Source organism: Homo sapiens, chromosome 8 (assembly GCF_000001405.40).
Source record: "Homo sapiens chromosome 8, GRCh38.p14 Primary Assembly".
Lineage (NCBI taxonomy): Eukaryota > Metazoa > Chordata > Mammalia > Primates > Hominidae > Homo > Homo sapiens.
Window position 1 is genome coordinate 134,630,056 of NC_000008.11, and position 17,584 is coordinate 134,647,639.

A 17,584-nucleotide genomic window follows, 5' to 3' on the forward strand; every position below is an offset into this window, starting at 1 on the left:
TCAGGGTAGCTCTGCTATCAGGTGTAACCAGGTCTCCCCTTAATCAGGGACAGTGACATGATAGGCAGAAGAGGGGCCACTCACAGAGCAGGCAGGCAGGAGCAGTGGCATGAACTGGGCCATGCAGAAGCCACACTCACAAGTACGCCCAAGACCAAGCACGGCTGGAGACCACTGGGTTTCCACTCACCTAGTTAGTACAGAGGAAAAAATGAGGGTTTACAGGCAGCAAAAAGAAACAGACATTACCACTATCCATCTTTCCACAGACAAATGTGGGATGTTCAGAAACACATTTTCACCTGCAAATTTTCAAACATGACTCACTCAAAAACATTTTCAGTCATGGCAGGTATTTATCAAGCCATCTGTTTTGCTAACACAAATACAGTAGAAGGCAGAGACTTGAAACACTGTAATAAAAAATCATCATGAAGATTACAGGTGGATCTTAAGACCATAAAATGAATGCCTTGTCTTTGACAGGAAGAATTTAATGAGAATAAGAGGAAATTTTCACAACTCTCCTTGCCTAAGATGACCCCAGAAATAACAAGCTTAGAAAAGTTCAGAAGTCACTTTTATAAATTTGACATATTGATTTCTGTAGGCTGCAAAACATTTTCAAAACACCAGCTGTTCTACATAACTACAGGAAAAAAAAATCTCTTTTCCTGGTTTCTGCTACCATTCAAATGCAGAATAAAATAAATAAATGTTGAAAACATATCAAAAGAGTTATTTTAACTTGCCATGGTTCAGGGTAAGAAAAAGTTTATTTTGTTTTCTTCTAATTGTTTTAACAAGCTATAGAGCCAAGGTCAGTTGTTTGAAATGTCACTAGACTGCTCTTGACAGAGCACATATTAAAACAATTACTCGAGAATTTTCCAAATTGTGATATTGTGCTTGGCAAACTAGAGAACACGGTGCAATCACATGGATGCCAGCCACAAGGCAGCTGGGCATAAGGTCATTTCTGCATATTTTAGAGCTTCAACCGTGGCTGGAAAGGAAAAAACACCCAGAGCGTCTATCTTTCCATTTGGTATTTGTTAAATTAAAGTCAATTTAGGTCATTCAAATCAATGGAATAGGAGGCCATTTTCTCTACTGCTATTCCTGGAGGAAGCCGATAATCTGATTAGAAAGGACCCTGTCTGTCTGCCATTGCTGAAGAGACTGCCTAATTATTACAGAGTAGAAAATAAGCATCAGGAATCCACACAGGGTGCCACTTCCATCGCTTATAAGGTTAGACAAAAATATGACAGAGACATGCTGAACTGGAGAAAATCTCCATCCATGAGGTAGAAATGAGAGTGGTCTTAAGGCACAGACGTGATAGAGCAAACTGGTAACGGGGCAGGAGTCGGGAGACACGGGCCCCAACCAGCCCCAAATGAGTCATGTGACCTGATCATCATCGCTTCTGCATCTCAAATTCTTCAGTCATAAAATTAGAACTTAGGTCTAAAAGGGGAGTTCTTTAAGCCAACCACAAAAGGTCACATACTGTGTGAGTCCATTTACACAGTGTTCCCAAAATGACAAAATCACACAGTTGGAGAACAGGCTGGCAGCTGCTAGGCGAGGGTGACAATTGAGGGACAGGGTGCCTGGCCCTGTGACAACAGAGCAGTTCTGCCTCCTGGTGGTGAGCACAGGCCATACTTGTGAGTGGCAAATTGGCAGCAAGCCACGCGCACTCAAAGGCCAAAGTCCTGATTCTGATACTGCGCTAGAGTTGTGTAGGGTGTAGCCACTGGGGGAGACCAGATGAGGAACACATGGGACTCTTCTGTATTATCTTTGTAGCTTCCTGTGAATTCATAATTATTTCAAAACACAAAGTTTTATTTTTTAAGGGGTTTTTGAGACTTTGAACTGCCAGATCTGTATTTTCTCCGTGGACCCTATCTATGACTTCAAATATTTTATCTACTGAATTATATTTATTAAGATAATTCCTTTCCCTAGATTTATTGGTCAAATATATACAGTTGACCCTTGAACAACATGGGTTTGAACTGCAAGGGGAAACTTATACTGAAATTTCTTCCATCTCTCTGACCTCTCCAGAAAGACCAACCCCTCCTCTTTCTCCTCAGCCTACTCAACATGAGGAGAATGAAGATGAAGATCTTTATGATGATCCACTTCCACTTAATGAACAGTAAACATATTCTCTCTTCCTTATGACTTTCTTAGTAACATTTTTGTTTCTCTAGCTTACTTTATTATAAGGAAATAGTATATAATACATATAACATACCAAATATGTGTTAATTGACTATTGGTAAGGCTTCTGGCCAACAGTAGATTATTACTAGTTAAGTTTGAGGAGAGTCAAAAGTTATACTTGAAAATAACTGTTGACAGTGGGATGGTGCCCTTAATCCCCACCTTGTTAAAAAGTCAACTATATAACTGCCTTACTTCACAACTTACAGAAAACAAAAATGCAATGTCCAAATGAATCAAAGATATACATAAAACCATACAGATAACAGAGAAACAGAAGCATTTTTTTTAAATTGGAGGGGATATGAGGTAAATTTTGTAAACTATGATAAAAGGGCAAAAAATGTAAAAGATACATTTGACAATACGATACAAACAGTGGTGACAATACAGAAATTTAAAACTCCAGCAAAATGCAAAAGGAAAAAAAGCAATGCTACAAAGAAAATTAAAAGACAAATGACAAATTGCAGAAAATATTTTCAGCATATATGATCATTCAAAGGTATAAGTAAAGTGCATGAACACAGAATGCCCCCAATCACACAAAAAAACACAAATAACTAAAAACTGTAACAGAGATAGCTCACTAGTGACCAAGGGGCAACAAATTAAAACAATTAAAGCAAACTGTTCACAAAAGAGACTGGCAAGGACAGAGGCTGACACAACCCAGGATGAAAAGGATAAAGGCTATCTGAGGACATGGCCCATGACGGAAAAATAATTGATACGCACATTCTACAGGGCAGTTTGACAATACGTATGCGCGTCAAAATGTAAAATATGCCCTATTTGCATTTTCCTAATGCAAAAGAAAAAAAAAAGCAATGCTACAAAGGAAACTAAAAGATACACTTACAGACTGTGTGATCTATCCAAGCGAACTGCTGAAACTATCTGTGTCTCTGTTTCCTCTTCTATAAAATGGGAATAACAATAGTGCCTACCTCTTAGCTGCTATGAGAATTAAAAGAGCTATTAGCTGTAAAACACTGAGAAACAGCAACTGCAAAATAAAAAGCACTAAAAAACAGCTCGTTAAATAACAACTTAACAAGCATTTCATTATTAGTCATTTAAGATAATGGCATAAGTGCAAAAAATAATAATAATAAATCTGAAATGCATGCTCAGGACTGTTCACCTGAGTAGTGCTTTTTGATCAGAGAGAAAATTTTAAAACAATTCTAAATGCCCATCAACTAGAGACCAATGAAGCAAAATGAGGTATGCCCATGCATATGAAGAAATGCTGTACAGCCTTTAAAAATGACAACAAGTAACACTGTTTTGGGTAAGGACACACAGCAAAGCAGTCAAAAGCACAGACCCTGGAGCCAGCCCACCTCGCTCACAACCAGCTCCACCACATATGGGCTGTGTGACCAAAGCCAACGGCTGAAACATCTGTGCCTTAGTTTGCTCTTCTATAAAATGGGAATAACAATAGTGCATACCTTGGCCAGGCACAGTGGCTCATACCTATAATCCCAACACTTTGGGAGGCCAAGTGAGGTGGATCACCTGAGGTCAAGAGTTCAAGACCAGCCTGGTCAACATGGTGAAACTCCATCTCTACTAAAAATACAAAAAATTAGCCGGGCGTGGTGGCAGATGCCTGTAATTGCAGCTACTTGGGAGGCTGAGGCAGGAGAATCACTTGAACCTGGGAGGCAGAGGTTGCAGTGAGCTGAGATTGCGCCACTGCACTCCAGCCTAGGCAACAAGAGCAAAACTCCATCTCAAAAAAACAAAACAAAACAAAACAAACAACAACAACAAAAATAGTGCCTATCTCTTAAGCTACCATGAGAATTAAAATGACTATTAGTTGTAAAACACTGAGAACAGCAACTGTAGCATAAAAAAGCGCTAGAAAACAGCTTGTTAAATAAAAAATATTGTCATGAAAAATTTATCTGCCACATTAGTGAGTGAAAAAAGATCACAGAATATTATGAATAATCTCAGTTCTGAAAAATACATATGGGTGTACAAAGAATGGAGGAGGGCCTTCTCTTTTTCAGTGTAACAGTCATTGACCCCAGGCAGTGAAATTTTGGAATATTTTCACTTTCTTAGTATTTTCTGTTTCATTACAGGTATTAAAAACTAAAACAAACAAAAGTAATAATATCCAATAGGCATTCTCAGACACTTCTGGAATATAAGTTGATGTGAGCTTTCTGGGCGCAATATTAACACACTTTCCAACCCAGCAATCTGGTTCTAGGAATTTATCCTACAAAAATCATAACACAAGTCTACAAATATGTATACATATTGACACACACACACACACATTTAGGAATAGTTATTAAAGCAGTATTTACAACAGTGAAAAATTGATAAAAACCTAAGTTTTCATCAAGTGTACCCTGGTTGGTACAAAAAACAGAATACTTTATGTCACTGACAAATGATGCCACAGAGCCACACGGAAAGATGGTTTTGGTGAGGGTCTTGAACATGCAGGGAGAAAGACTCTGTACTCTGCTGTGATGGGGAGACACTAAGGCACTCTGTTTTAGAGCAGCAGTCCCCAACTTTTTTGGCACCAGGGACTGGTTTCATGGAAGATAATTTTTCCACAGATGGCGGGGTGGGGTGGTTTGGGGATGAAACTGTTCCACCTCAGATCTCAAGCATTAGATTCTCAATAAGGAGCACGCAACGTAGATCCCTGGCATGTGCAGTTTACAATAGGGCTCATGTTCCTATGAGAAGCGAGTGTCGCAGCTGATCTGTCAGGAGGCAGAGCTCAGGTGGTAATGCTCGCTCACCAACCACTCACCTGCTGTGCAGCCTGGTTCCTAACAGGCCACAGACCCGTACAAACCTGCGGCCCAGGGATTGGGGACCCCTGTTTTAGAGAGTTGACCCTAAGGGCAGTGCAGACTGGGGAACGGCCACAGACCCAGCTGAACTTCTGGGCCTCCAGGGTCTGTGCTGTTGACTTTGAGCCTCAAACCCAGAGCTTGACCTGAGGTCTGGAAGAATGGAAAGCAGAAAAATTTAGTGTTGCCAAAGAGCAAAGTCTCTGATTTCTAGCCACAATTGTGCAGAAAGTCCAGGAGTGTCTCAGAAGGAACCTGACAGGAAAAACCCTGTGAAGGTACAAACAAAAGGGATTCTCGAGAAGACAGCAGAAAATGATCGGAGAGAACTAGATTCTCTGAAGGGCTCAGGCAGTGCAGAAACTACAGACAGCAGAGCTGCCTCGATGGCTAGCACTGATTAAAATGCAACGTCGTTACCTAGCTGTGCCGGAGCAGGGGGCATGCATATGTATGCATGTGAGACAGAAAGAGAGACAGGGAGAGAGAGAGAGAGTCAGGGAGAGAGGGAGAGAGAGAGAGAGACAGGGAGAGAGAGAGTGTGCATGCACGCACAAGAGGGTGGGGGAAAGACTCTGTAACCCAAATCCAGTGATTAACAAATCACTGGAAATCAGAGCTTCGGGTTCAGGGGAGGTCTATCCTAATCCTTCCTCTTTCAACCATCTCATTTCTAAAATTATCTTTATTTCCCAAAAGGACTTTAGGTTCTGAAACACGATGCAGATTCTTCTGAAATGACAGCACTCCGGGCCTACAGCTCTCACACGGCAATTACTCAGGCTCCATTTAGGGACAGCTCCACCTCCTTTGATCCTCATGGGTTATTTTCATGAGCCCGTGCAGCCCCACAAGGTTTTACATCATTGCCTTGAGAGTTCTTTATGAGAGGGAACAGTGTCTGGTATTTTCTACAACTTGTACAGATGTTGGCAATGAGCCTTGGCCACCAACCTAGATGCTCCATAAATATTAGTTGATGAGTTACTCAATAATTCACCCAAACTATGATAGGGTTTTGCAAACCAAGAGTCTTGCTTATTGTAGGGAGGCATTTATGGTGAGGAATTTAAGAACAGGGGTCAGAGTAGGATGGCCTGGGTTCAAAGGCCAGGTCCCCTTACTAACTAAAGGACCCTAAACAAATTACTTCATCTCTCAGAGTCTAAACGCCCTTATCCAGGAAGCAGGAAGGATGACAACAATACTGTATCCATGTGGTTATGAACGGCTCACTGTAATAGCTGGCATTCACTTGGTGCTTTTGATATAGCAGGTACTACTGGAAGCACTTTCTAAGTCCTATCTTACTTAATTGTCAAAGCAACCATAGGAGACAGGACTGCTTTTATTCCAATTTTACGGATGAGGAAACTGAGGCAAAATTAAGTTAATAAGTGCTGAAGCTGGAATGCAAACCCAGACAGCCGTAACCCAGAGCCTATGTTCTTAATGAGAACTGCTTCCCACATAACATGGTTAGCACAATACAAAACAGAAAGAACTTAAACATGGGGTACAGTTTGAAGGCTTCAAAAATGGTGCAAGGACTCAACAACAACAGAACCCACAGCAGAGGCCCTAACTGCTCCAGCGTAGCCTTGCTATTTCATTCCTCCGACGAAGGCCATCTGCAGACACACTACCCCACAGCAACTTCATTCCCTGACCACATCTATCCGCCTTTCAGCCTCTTTTAGAAGCTGCTTCAGAGCTGAAGCCTAGTCAAGAATGTATCTGAAGGAGGCACCCGATAGTCTTTATTTTCTTCAAGAATGCCCACTGAAATCTAGTCCTCAGCCAATGCTGGCCCATCGAGGTCCCTCATAGGAGCCTTGAGGATCCTAATCTCTGCACTTTGGCCCACATGGCCCCATCCATCCACTAAGACGTCCTTCCTTCAATTCAATGCCACCCAAACTGTGACACCAGATTCACTCCTGACTTTCCATCAGAATGCTTTCTCCTGCTGACAATTTGTTATCGATTAACATGATGCATTTAAAACCTTGTCTTCTTTCCCAGAACATAAGCTCAGCAAAGAGAGAGGCTGTGTTTTACCATCCCTGCAACTCTCAAAGCATCTAGCAAAGCAGTCCCCTGACCTGCATGCCATGGGCATCAACTCCCAGATGACACATTCACTTCAAAGACTACTTACGGTAATAGTCATCATTAGGAAAATAAGCACTTTTCCAGATGGGTGAGAGCTGAATAAATATGTGCTATTTCCAAGTAAAAACTGACCCAGTGAAACCTGATATTAGCAGATACACCTCTTCATAAGAAATTGACATGTTCAGCCCTTTGGCAGCATTTACCTGCTTCTCCTTCCTCCTCACCCAAATTCAGCACGATAATGCAGATGTGCTTCCGCAGCTGGCGCGTGTTGGAGAACTTCCGACAGCACTTGCTACACTCCAAGCTGCTTGGAGGCAGGCTGTTCCCTTCCTCCGGAGCCAGCGGGCTGTCCTCAGTCGGACTCACGATGTTTTCTGCCAGCTCCTCTTCTGTGCTGGACTTCTTCGTGGACCCCTTAGGCCTGCCTCTCTTCCTCTTCATGACCAAAAACTCTACAGAGGAAACAAGAGGGCACAATGGAATCACGTGAGACGGCAGTGCAGGGTTCACAATCACCCTCCAAGTGTGAGGATATGTTCAGGTTTCACGTTTCATTAAAAATGAAAAGTCTAAAGTGATTCCAGACATTAACAGCTGCAAACAATTATCGTTGGTGCTAATATCATTGCATCTGTGTACTAATGGGTAATCAATTTTCTAATGTTCTGATTCAAGACCATCAGTTTATCAGCATCGCTGTACATCTTTCTCCAGCAATGCTGACAGGATTTTAAGTTGCGGCTGTCAACCCCCCGTTCACAAATCCTGCCCCTTGTTAAGCACCATTTCCACTGAAATCCAGTTCTCAGAAACTGCTTAGGGACTCCTTTGCAAAGCGTTCTCAAAGGCTGCTGAGCTTGTCATGCCCTTAATGAGTTACAAAACTATTCAGATTATTTCAAGGAGTCATAATTATTAGAGTCAAATTGTCCTGGCAAGAAAAAGAAAAAATAATTACAATCTAAAGCCACAAATTATAGCACTAAAGACAATAACAATATTTTTCCAGTTTCCTAGCGACCTAGTGATTTTCAATGGCATGATCACAGCTGCTTTAGAGCAAGTTTAAAATCATTTTACAACTTGTGTTTCTTCTCAATTAGTGTTAATTTTTAAGGCATTCATCTCCGGAATGAAGGTGGGAATTAAGAGGGGTGAGCGGGGGCCAGGCGCGGTGGCTCACGCCTGTAATCCCAGCACTTTGGGAGGCCGAGGTGGGCGGATCACGAGGTCAGGAGATCGAGACTATCCTGGCTAACATGGTGAAACTCTGTCTCTACTAAAAATACAAAAAAAAAACAAAACAAAAAAAAAAAACATTAACCAGGCGTGGTGGCGGGCACCTGTAGTCCCAGCTACTCAGGAGGCTGAGGCAGGAGAATGGCGTGAACTGGGAGGCAGAGCTTGTAGTAAGCTGAGATCACACTACTGCACTCCAGCCTGGGCAACAGAGCGAGACTCCATCTCAAATAAAAAAAAAAAAAGATGGGTGAGCAGGGCAGGGAGCAGAGCATCTCATCCAGTTGTGTGAAGGTGGAGGGGTGTGGTCTTCAACGATGAGACTTAGGAGATGTCCCTGAGCGAGACCAAGCAGAGAGCCGCCAGCAGCCTGGCTGACATCCCCAATGCCAGTCATCTGTCTGGCAGAGGAGTGGCACTTCAGCAACCCTCTTTGAACCTGAACATTGGGGTAGAGGAAGGAGTACTAGATTCTGGCACCATCTTGGGTACACGTGCATCTGTAGAATGTCTCTCAGGTCCCTTCCTGCTCTCTCTAAAGCTGTTGCTCTGCACAGTAGGACACCAGCCACTTTATCTACTGCTATTACCATGAGGACCCGTTAAGTAAGTCACTTGTGCTCACAAATCAGAGAGGGAGGCCACAGGGGCAAAGGGGAGCAGAGATGGGCAGAACAGTCTGGGGCAGAGTCTGCAGGGACACAACAGCCTGACCACAGGGAATCTGAACAAAGAAGCCTGCCTTGGTACGGGGTACCCAAGACCTCAGGGAAACCTGGCACCAGAATGAAGCAAGAGATTTCCTGGGAAAGGAGGGCCCTTGCTGGAACAGAGCTTCAACCAAACTGCAACGCCACTGGTGAGTGGGTCAGCCTTGGCTGAAAGATCCAAACCAGAGTCCTGCACTAAGGCAACCAGCGAGATTCCTGCCTTCACTCTATCTCCCTGGGGCATGGTGGGCAGGGGAGCACAAAGAAGAAGAAGGTACTTAATGATAGGAAGGCAAACCAGATAAAACAAGGGACAGAAGGCCCTGGGAGCCCTCCCTAGATTTAAACAAGGAGAAAAAAGCCTGTGTTTACAGGAGAACCAGCCTGTGTGCAAGGGAGATGGGAGGAAAGAAATACAAGGTACAGAGTAAGAAACCATTTCCCTTGGAGTCTTTAAAACTTTTCTCCTTATTCTTCTTCACAACAACGTGTACTTGCACAATCTACTGAAGCAGCAATTCATATCAGAGAAGCAGAATTAGCAGAGAGGCTACAAAACACCCACCTCGTGTCATGTCAGCTGAGTTCCAGAAACAGGGTGCCTAAGAGTTTACTGAAGCCTGCGGCCCAGGTCTAAACCCAGTGACAGACTCTGCCATCCCGCAGACACAAGCCACTCCCCTGAAACACTCTATGAGGATGTGATTGTGAGTGAAGAATTAACTTTACCCAAAGAGAAGTCTGGCCTTTGCCCTTGGCTACAGGGAGGTGATTTCTAGGCCCCCGGATGTCCCTCCTGATGTCCTATGTTGTAGTTGGGAGAGAGGTAACTTTGCTCAGGACTCCATGGGTGGACCAAAAGCTCCACGTCTAGAACCTTCCCAGTCTGCAACTTTACCCACACACCTCTCTCCCTTTAACTGGCTCTCTGATTTGCATCCTTTGAGTATAATCAAATTATAATCATGAGGACAGGGCTTTCCTGAGTTGTGTGAGTTATTCTAGCAAATTATCAAAGCTGAGAGAGGCCGCAGGGACCTTCCAAATCTGTAGTAGTAAGAAAGAAGTAAAGGTGGTCCAGGAGACCCTCCAAACTTGTGGCTGGTATCAGGAGTCTTGGGCAGACTTGGTCGTCTTGCGGAGAACTGTGCCCTTAAGCTTGAGTTTGGCAAACTTACTATTGCGGGGTAGCCAGTGTTTTCTCCACACAGACTCAATGGAGCACAGACAGCCACAGTGTTTGCACTTGCTGGAGCACAGCACAGCGTGTGGTACAGCAGACATCGTGAGTCTCCACTCCCCCAGACTGGAGACTCCTCGAAGGCAGAGTCCCTGTCCTGATTACTTTTTATCCCCCTCGCACCTAACCTGGTGCCCTGAGCAGCAGGCAGCCAGCAAATCTGGGTGAATTAAACTGATGAGCAATGCACAATTAATTCCAAGGCAAGGAAAAAATAAAATCGGCCTGAAAGCTTTGGAAAACCTCAAACACGATGGTGACAAAACTAATCTTCCAGCTTGCTGCATCCATAATTCAGATCCTCAAGACCAATTAGCTAGCTAAAAATGAAATATTCATGAATGAACTTGAATAATTTAAGCTCTGAAAATGAGTTGCTGCTGTCAACTACTCGCATTTTATGGCAGAGCTGAGAATCTTGGGACTGGGCAAGGAAAATCATGTAACCTCTAAATCAAAACATTTCAATGGAGTTAGCTTTAATTCCTCTTCCTCCCTCTGAATTCCTTTATTTAATCTGTCACTAAACTCTATGGACTTTGCCCTAAAGATGTCTCTCCAGTAAATCCCCTCTCTGTTCACACAGCAACCTCACCACCCAGATGCCTGCACACGGTGTCCAGATTCCAGCCTCCTGCTCTGGGCTTTCTCTGCCTCCATCCCTCATCTGTCATTCCCTCACTCTAGAACCTTCCATTGTTCTGGATGATTTTGCCCACAACTCTCAGGCCTGGCCTTCAAGGTCCTTTAGCACGTGATCCAACCCTGCACATATGCACACACAGACACACACACCTGCACACACACACACATTCAGTGACCCCACTTCCTTCTTCCTCCCCCTTAACTGCTCAGGGCAATTTTCTAGACCTCCCCAAATATACACAGAGAATCCCCGTCTCTTTTCACTTACTTGTACTATTCTCCCAAGCTGTGACCACCTCCTTCACTACCAATCAGAGACCAAGCCCCAGTTCAAATCCTAACATGTCCGGTCCAGTTAAGACCTCAGTGCCTCCTCCATGAGGTGTCCCCAGCTAAGTGAGCAGGATGACTACCCCCACAGCTTGATGTGAATTACAGTGTGAGCCACACACACGTAGGGTGTGTATGCGCCCACACCACTCCCTGATTGTTTCGATTTTTCCCCACCTTTTATGACAAACCCTGAGGTCTGAGCTGGCCTTTTAATTCCTGGGTCCCACAGGGTCTCGAACGGAGCTGGATGTGGAGTAGATACAATTAATAAGTACACACTGATCCACTGTTTGATGATAGAAAAAGAAATATCTGGAAAAGAAGCCATTTCCTGTGTCCCCAGTTTCCAAAAGGAAGAAAGGGCTGAGCCACAGTGCCTCTTAACTCTGCTCTAAATCCACAGTTTGGGGACAACTTCCTCTTAGTCAGAAAATCATCCTTGCAGATCCAAGGCCAAAAACTGGCAAGGGGCAGAGAATCGGCCAAAGGATTACTTCTAACTCAATCAAAACACAACGTGAACACTATGAAAAAATAGCCCAACATTATCAACAATTTAATAACGTAAGCCCTTTATTTGTGCATCACTCAAGTTTGCAAGGCACTTTCCCAGCTATTATCTCATTTTAGCCTTATAAAAATCTTAAGAGATGGATGCAGCAAACACAACGTCCTCAATGGGAGAAGAAACAAGGGACACAACGGTTCAAGTGGCTTGGCGCATCTTCCAGAACCAGCTGCTGAGCACGCAGAACTGGAATTTGGGTTTCCTTATTCCCAGTCAAAAATGTATCTGCAGAATCACATACCCCTGAAGCATGGGTAAGAAAAGGTCAGCACTACACACTTTAATAGAGACAATCTGTGCTGTGCAGAGAATGCTGGCTTGGAGCTGGACCGACCTGGGTTCAAATCTCCCCTGAGCCTCCGTTTCCAATGCGAAAAATAAACACAAAACTGCCTCTATTTTATAGAGTCACTACTGATAAAAGCAATCCATTACAATGCTGGGCACAGAACTCAGGAGATGATTGATAAATGGCAACTGTTTAATATTATGGCCATAGTCATTAAGATTCTGACTTAGAATATCTCTTTTAAGAAACTATTATCCTCCCACCTGGTCCACAGTTAGATAATGTGATTTCTTGATGTACATGCATTCTCATTCATTCTGACTCAATACGCATTTTTTCCTTGAGTTCTTCATTTTAAAATAGCTCTCACACCAGGAAATCCAATGTAGAATTAAAGGCACACAAATTTTATTATGCCTAAAACCCTGGATACGGCCAGCTTCCCAGCACTCGCACAGGGCAGCTCAATCTCTAATCACACCAACTCAAGAATTTTGGAAAATCCTGAAAGACTAACATTTTAAGGCCCTGACAGTCAATCTCCCTGACGTTTATTTCCAAAGCTCAGGAAGCAATAGGGGAGACAATGAATTATTTATCATAAATAGGGGAACACAAGCCTCTTAGGTTTATGAGGAATGCAACATCCCCTTTGCAGGGACAGACTGCATCCTGTTCCACAATGCCAGGCACCAGGGAGGCTGAAGGCATCCCAAGCTTGCTCCTTGTACTTTTACCAGCCATATCGTGGAAATGCCACGTAAATAATGGTGATAACTAATCATTATTAAGCACATATATCTCAGGCACCATGCTAAGCACTTCACATGCACGTCCTCATTTAATCCCCAAGGGAGGCATTAGTATGATCCCCATCATATAGTAGAGGTCACTGAGGCTTAAGAAGATTAACTTATTTGCTCCAAGGTCAGGGAATTAATAAATGGCAGAATCAGGAATTGAATACAGACCTGTTTGCCTCAAAGTCAGTGAACTTCATACCCATGTCATAGCAAGTCCTTTGGACAGTTCAATTAATATCTAAGCACAGAAATAATATACTTTGACCTCTTCACTAAGTTCTGCAGGAAAATGACGATAGTCTCATGCAGTGACAAGCTTCAGTGTGATCCCACTCCCTGGGCTGGAAAGTACACGGATGTAAGGTACAGGAGGGTACAATGTCTAACAGGCAGTCACTATGGACTAAGGCATCATGTATGAACATGCACTTGTCTCAGAACCTATGAAAAAGGTCAGTATCTTATCTCTCTTTGACAGGTGACAAAAGTCACAGCCATGCCACTTGTCTAAGTCCCCAGCAGAGCCTCAAGGCTGTGGTGCAGGCTGTACCCTGTGTGAGGCGGTGATTGAAGACTTACCAGGGCCAAATTCCACTAGCCAAGCTGTGTGCTCCGGCACTGGCTGCATCAGCCCTGAGCACGTTTTATGTTTGTTCACCCAGAAACAGCTCCTGTTACTAGCTCATCCCCTCAGAATGGGGGCGCCTTTTGTAATCTGCACAAAGGTCCCTATGTGCCAGCCAAGGCTCCAGCAATCACATGAAAGCTCCAGGAATGGAGCCTAAGTCTGATTCCAAGACGTGTGCCCTTTCCACTACACTGCGCTGCTGACCAGGGCAGATCAGAGTGCTCAACATTCGTACATGCACTCAGAATGACTGGATTTGTGGTAAATGCCCAGAAGAGACAACATACAGATTTAAACATAGACATCAACTTCCCCTGGGAAGCCTCCTTTTACCCTCACATTAGAGGACGTCTTTAGCAGCCTGAACTTAACCGCGCAGAGGCACTCGCCCTGCTGCACTGAAACTGCCTTTTTGCCTATTTGCCATTCACCAGCTAGGGGGCCAGAGTCAACAGCCTGTGGGCCCCTCCTGCAGCCCCAGCACCTAGCACAGCACCCAGACATACAGCAGGCACCCAACAAACAGTTAATGACTAAAGAGATGGAAAGGGGGAGGGGAGAGGAGAGGAAAGATAAGAAAGGAAGAATTCCTGCAGAGGGTCTGAAATCAGAGAGAAAATGGGAGAGCCAAAACGAGGCTCTCGGGAGACCCATGTACATTCTTCCTCAATTGCCCCAGCCTCCATCAGGATAAATGAATGCATGCGTGTGCACACACACTCTCACACACACATGCTCATACACACCCATATACAAAATCATACACGTGCACACACATATCCATATACACAATCATACACACATACACAAGCACCTATACAACCACACACACATGCACACTCACACACGTACACAACCACATACACAACCCATGTACACAACCACATACACATGTGCACACTCCCAAATGTACCGTATACACAATCTCACACACAAACGTGCACTTACACATGTGCCCACAACCACACACACGTGCACTTACACATATGCCCACGACACACAGCACACTCACAAACGTGCCCATATTCACAATCACACACACATGTATACTCACAATGTGCCCAGATATGCAATCACACACATGCACACTCGCATGCGCACATATACAGTATCACACACGTGCACACTCACACACCATCTATATACACAATCACACAACGTGCACACTCAAACGTGCCTATATACACAATCACATGCACACACACAAACACACCCATATACACACATACCTGTGTACTCACAAACACACCCATACACATACACACAGAGATATGATCACACACACGCACATGGGATCACACACACGAGAATGAGCTTGGTCCATTAGGAAATTTCTTCTTGGATCACAGCCAGAGGTTTGATGAGGAAAAGAGAAGGAAAATGAAAGGTCTTTCTGCAGACCACTTCCTACATGAGCAAAAAAGATTAAAAGGCTATAAAATAAACCAGAGGATTTCAGTGGCTTCACGTTATAACGAGAGACCAAAATAATAAATCAATTACTACTCAGTTAAAGGTTTAATTAAACCATTTCAAGTAGCTCTCAATTTAAAATGAATTGTGAAGGTTAAACCTGAATGAAAATCATTAGAGAGAAACTAAGCCTCTACAAGCCTCAAATTTTATGAACTTTCACAAAGAGAAAAAGAAAGACTTGAAGTTCATAATGAAAGACTTTTTAAAATTTTTTGTCATGTTAAGAGGCTGAGTTTAACTAAGGAATTCATGCTTTTTAAAATTAAACTACACAGACAAAAGTAGTTTAGTATACACACACACACAAAAAAGAAAACATACGGAAGAAGAATTTGTCAAAAGTAAATTATTTAATAAAAGAAAATAATTTATAAAAGTAGGCTCAATGATAAGAATTTGATTATTCCTGGACTACCACCATAACATGCAAATAACATCAAATCAGCTGGGCCTAAATCCCTCCCTCTCACTTACTATATAGGTAATCTTGAACATGCTGTTTTAACTCCTCTGAGTCTCTAAGCCACATATTCCTCAATTATAAAATCTGGGCATCAGCCAGGAAATAGATGTGAATAACCCTATAAACCAACAAATTCTAATACATATACCGAACATGCCACCCAGCAACAGCAGAATACAAAGTATTCTCAAGTCCACATGAAAAATTCTCCAAAACAGACAACATTTTAGGCCATAAGTTAAGTCTCTATAAATTTAAAAGAACTGAGCCAGGCGCAGTGGCTCACGCCTGTAATCCCAGCACTTTGGGAGGCCGAGGCGGGTGGATCACAAGGTCAGGAGTTTGAGAACCATCCTGGCCAACACAGTGAAACACCGTCTCTACTTAAAAAAAAAAATAGAAAAATTAGCCGGGCGTGGTGGCGGGCGCCTGTAGTCCTAGCTACTCAGGAGGCTGAGGCAGGAGAATCGCTTGAAACTGGAAGGCGGAGGTTGCAGTGAGCCGAGATCACGCCACTGCACTCCAGCCTGGGCGAAAGAGCGAAACCCCATCTCAAAGAAAAAAGAATGGAAATCATTCAAGTATGTGGAATTAAATTAGAAATAAAAAGGAAGAAATTTGGGAAATTCAAAAATTTATGAAAATTAAATGGTACTCTTAAATAGCCATTGGGCCAAAAAGGAAATCATAAGGGAAATTAGAAATACTTTGAGATGAACAAAACAAAAACACAACATACCAAAACTTATAGGATGTAGCAAAGGCAGTTCTAAAAAGAAAGTTTATTGCCTACATTAGAAAAAAAGAAAAATCTCAAATAAACAACATAATTTTACAACTCAAGGAATTAGACAAAGAAGAATAAATAAGCCCAAAGTGAGCAGATGGAAGGAAATAATAGAATAGAGCAGAAATAAACAAAATAGAAAAAGAATAAAAAAGATCAACAAACTAAGAGCTTGTTGTTTGAAAAGATAAACACAGTTGAGAAACCCTTAGCTAGACTAACCGAGAAAAAAAGAGAGGCCACAAATGAATTAAATTTTGAATAAAAAAGGACACATTATAACTGGCACCACAGAAAGACAAGTGATCATAAAAGACTACTATCAACAATTATATGCCAACCAACTAGATAACCTAGAAGAAACTGATAAATTCCTAGAATCACACAATCTACCAAGACTGGATCATAAGGAAATAGAAAATCTGAATAGATCAATAACAAGTTAGGAGACTGAATCAGTAATCAAAATCTCCCAACAAAGAAAAGCCCAGGACCAGGTGGTTTCACTGGTGAACTCTACCAAACATTTAAAAAGGAATTAATTCCAGTTTTACTCAAGCTCTTCAAAAAAATTAAAGAGGAGGGAATACCTCCCAACTCATTTTGTAAGGCCAAAGCTAGACAGACACTACAAAAAAAGAAAATTACAGGCCAATATTCCTGATAAACAAAAATACTCAAAAAATACTAACAAACCAAATTCAACAGCACATTAAAAAAATTACACGCCATGATAACGAGGGTGTTATCTCTAAGATGCAAGGCTGGTTCAACATATGTGTATAAATAAATGTGATATATAACATTTATAGAATTAAGGACAAAAATCATACATGATCATCTCAATAAGTATGGGGAAAAGTTTGACAAAATTCAACAACCCTTCATGATAAAAACTCTCAAAAAACTAGATAACAAGGAATGTACCACAACATAATAAAGGAATGTGCTTCAACAAACGACAGACCCAGAGCTAACATAATAATCAACGTGAAAAGCTGAAAGCTCTCCTCTAAGATCAGGAATAGGACAAGGGTGCCTACTCTCACCACTTATATGCTTCCTGGCATTGGAAGTCCTAGCCAGAGTAGTTAGGTAAGCAAAAATACAAAGCATGCAAAGTAAAATGGAAGGAGTAGAACTGTCTCTGTTTGTAGATGACATAATCTTAGATATAGAAAGCCCTAAAGATTATACT

General features: G+C 42.6%; 1 protein-coding gene across 14 annotated transcripts in view, besides 1 other annotated feature; it reads right to left on the reverse strand.

Annotated features, from left to right (window-relative positions):
* Nucleotides 1-17,584, reverse strand: part of ZFAT (zinc finger and AT-hook domain containing) — a 354,552-nt gene that overhangs the window by 152,268 nt on the left and 184,700 nt on the right. For 13 of the 14 annotated variants that reach the window (NR_110323.2, XR_007060749.1, XR_007060750.1 and 10 more), the window contains one exon: nt 7,406-7,657. Coding sequence is in view for 11 of the 14 variants with exons in the window: in XM_047422062.1 (XP_047278018.1) it covers nt 7,406-7,657 (252 nt within the window). In the remaining 3 variants the exon portion in view is untranslated. Of the gene's footprint in view, nt 1-7,405; nt 7,658-9,719; nt 9,759-17,584 lie in introns of those variants that run through there. The other variant, XM_011517204.3, reaches the window with a different exon arrangement.
* Nucleotides 1,403-1,472: an enhancer, noted in NCBI's record as "active region_28016". NCBI's record gives its function as "activates an Ori minimal core promoter by ATAC-STARR-seq in GM12878 lymphoblastoid cells {active_cell/tissue: GM12878}" and the evidence as "EXISTENCE:reporter gene assay evidence [ECO:0000049][PMID:35858748]".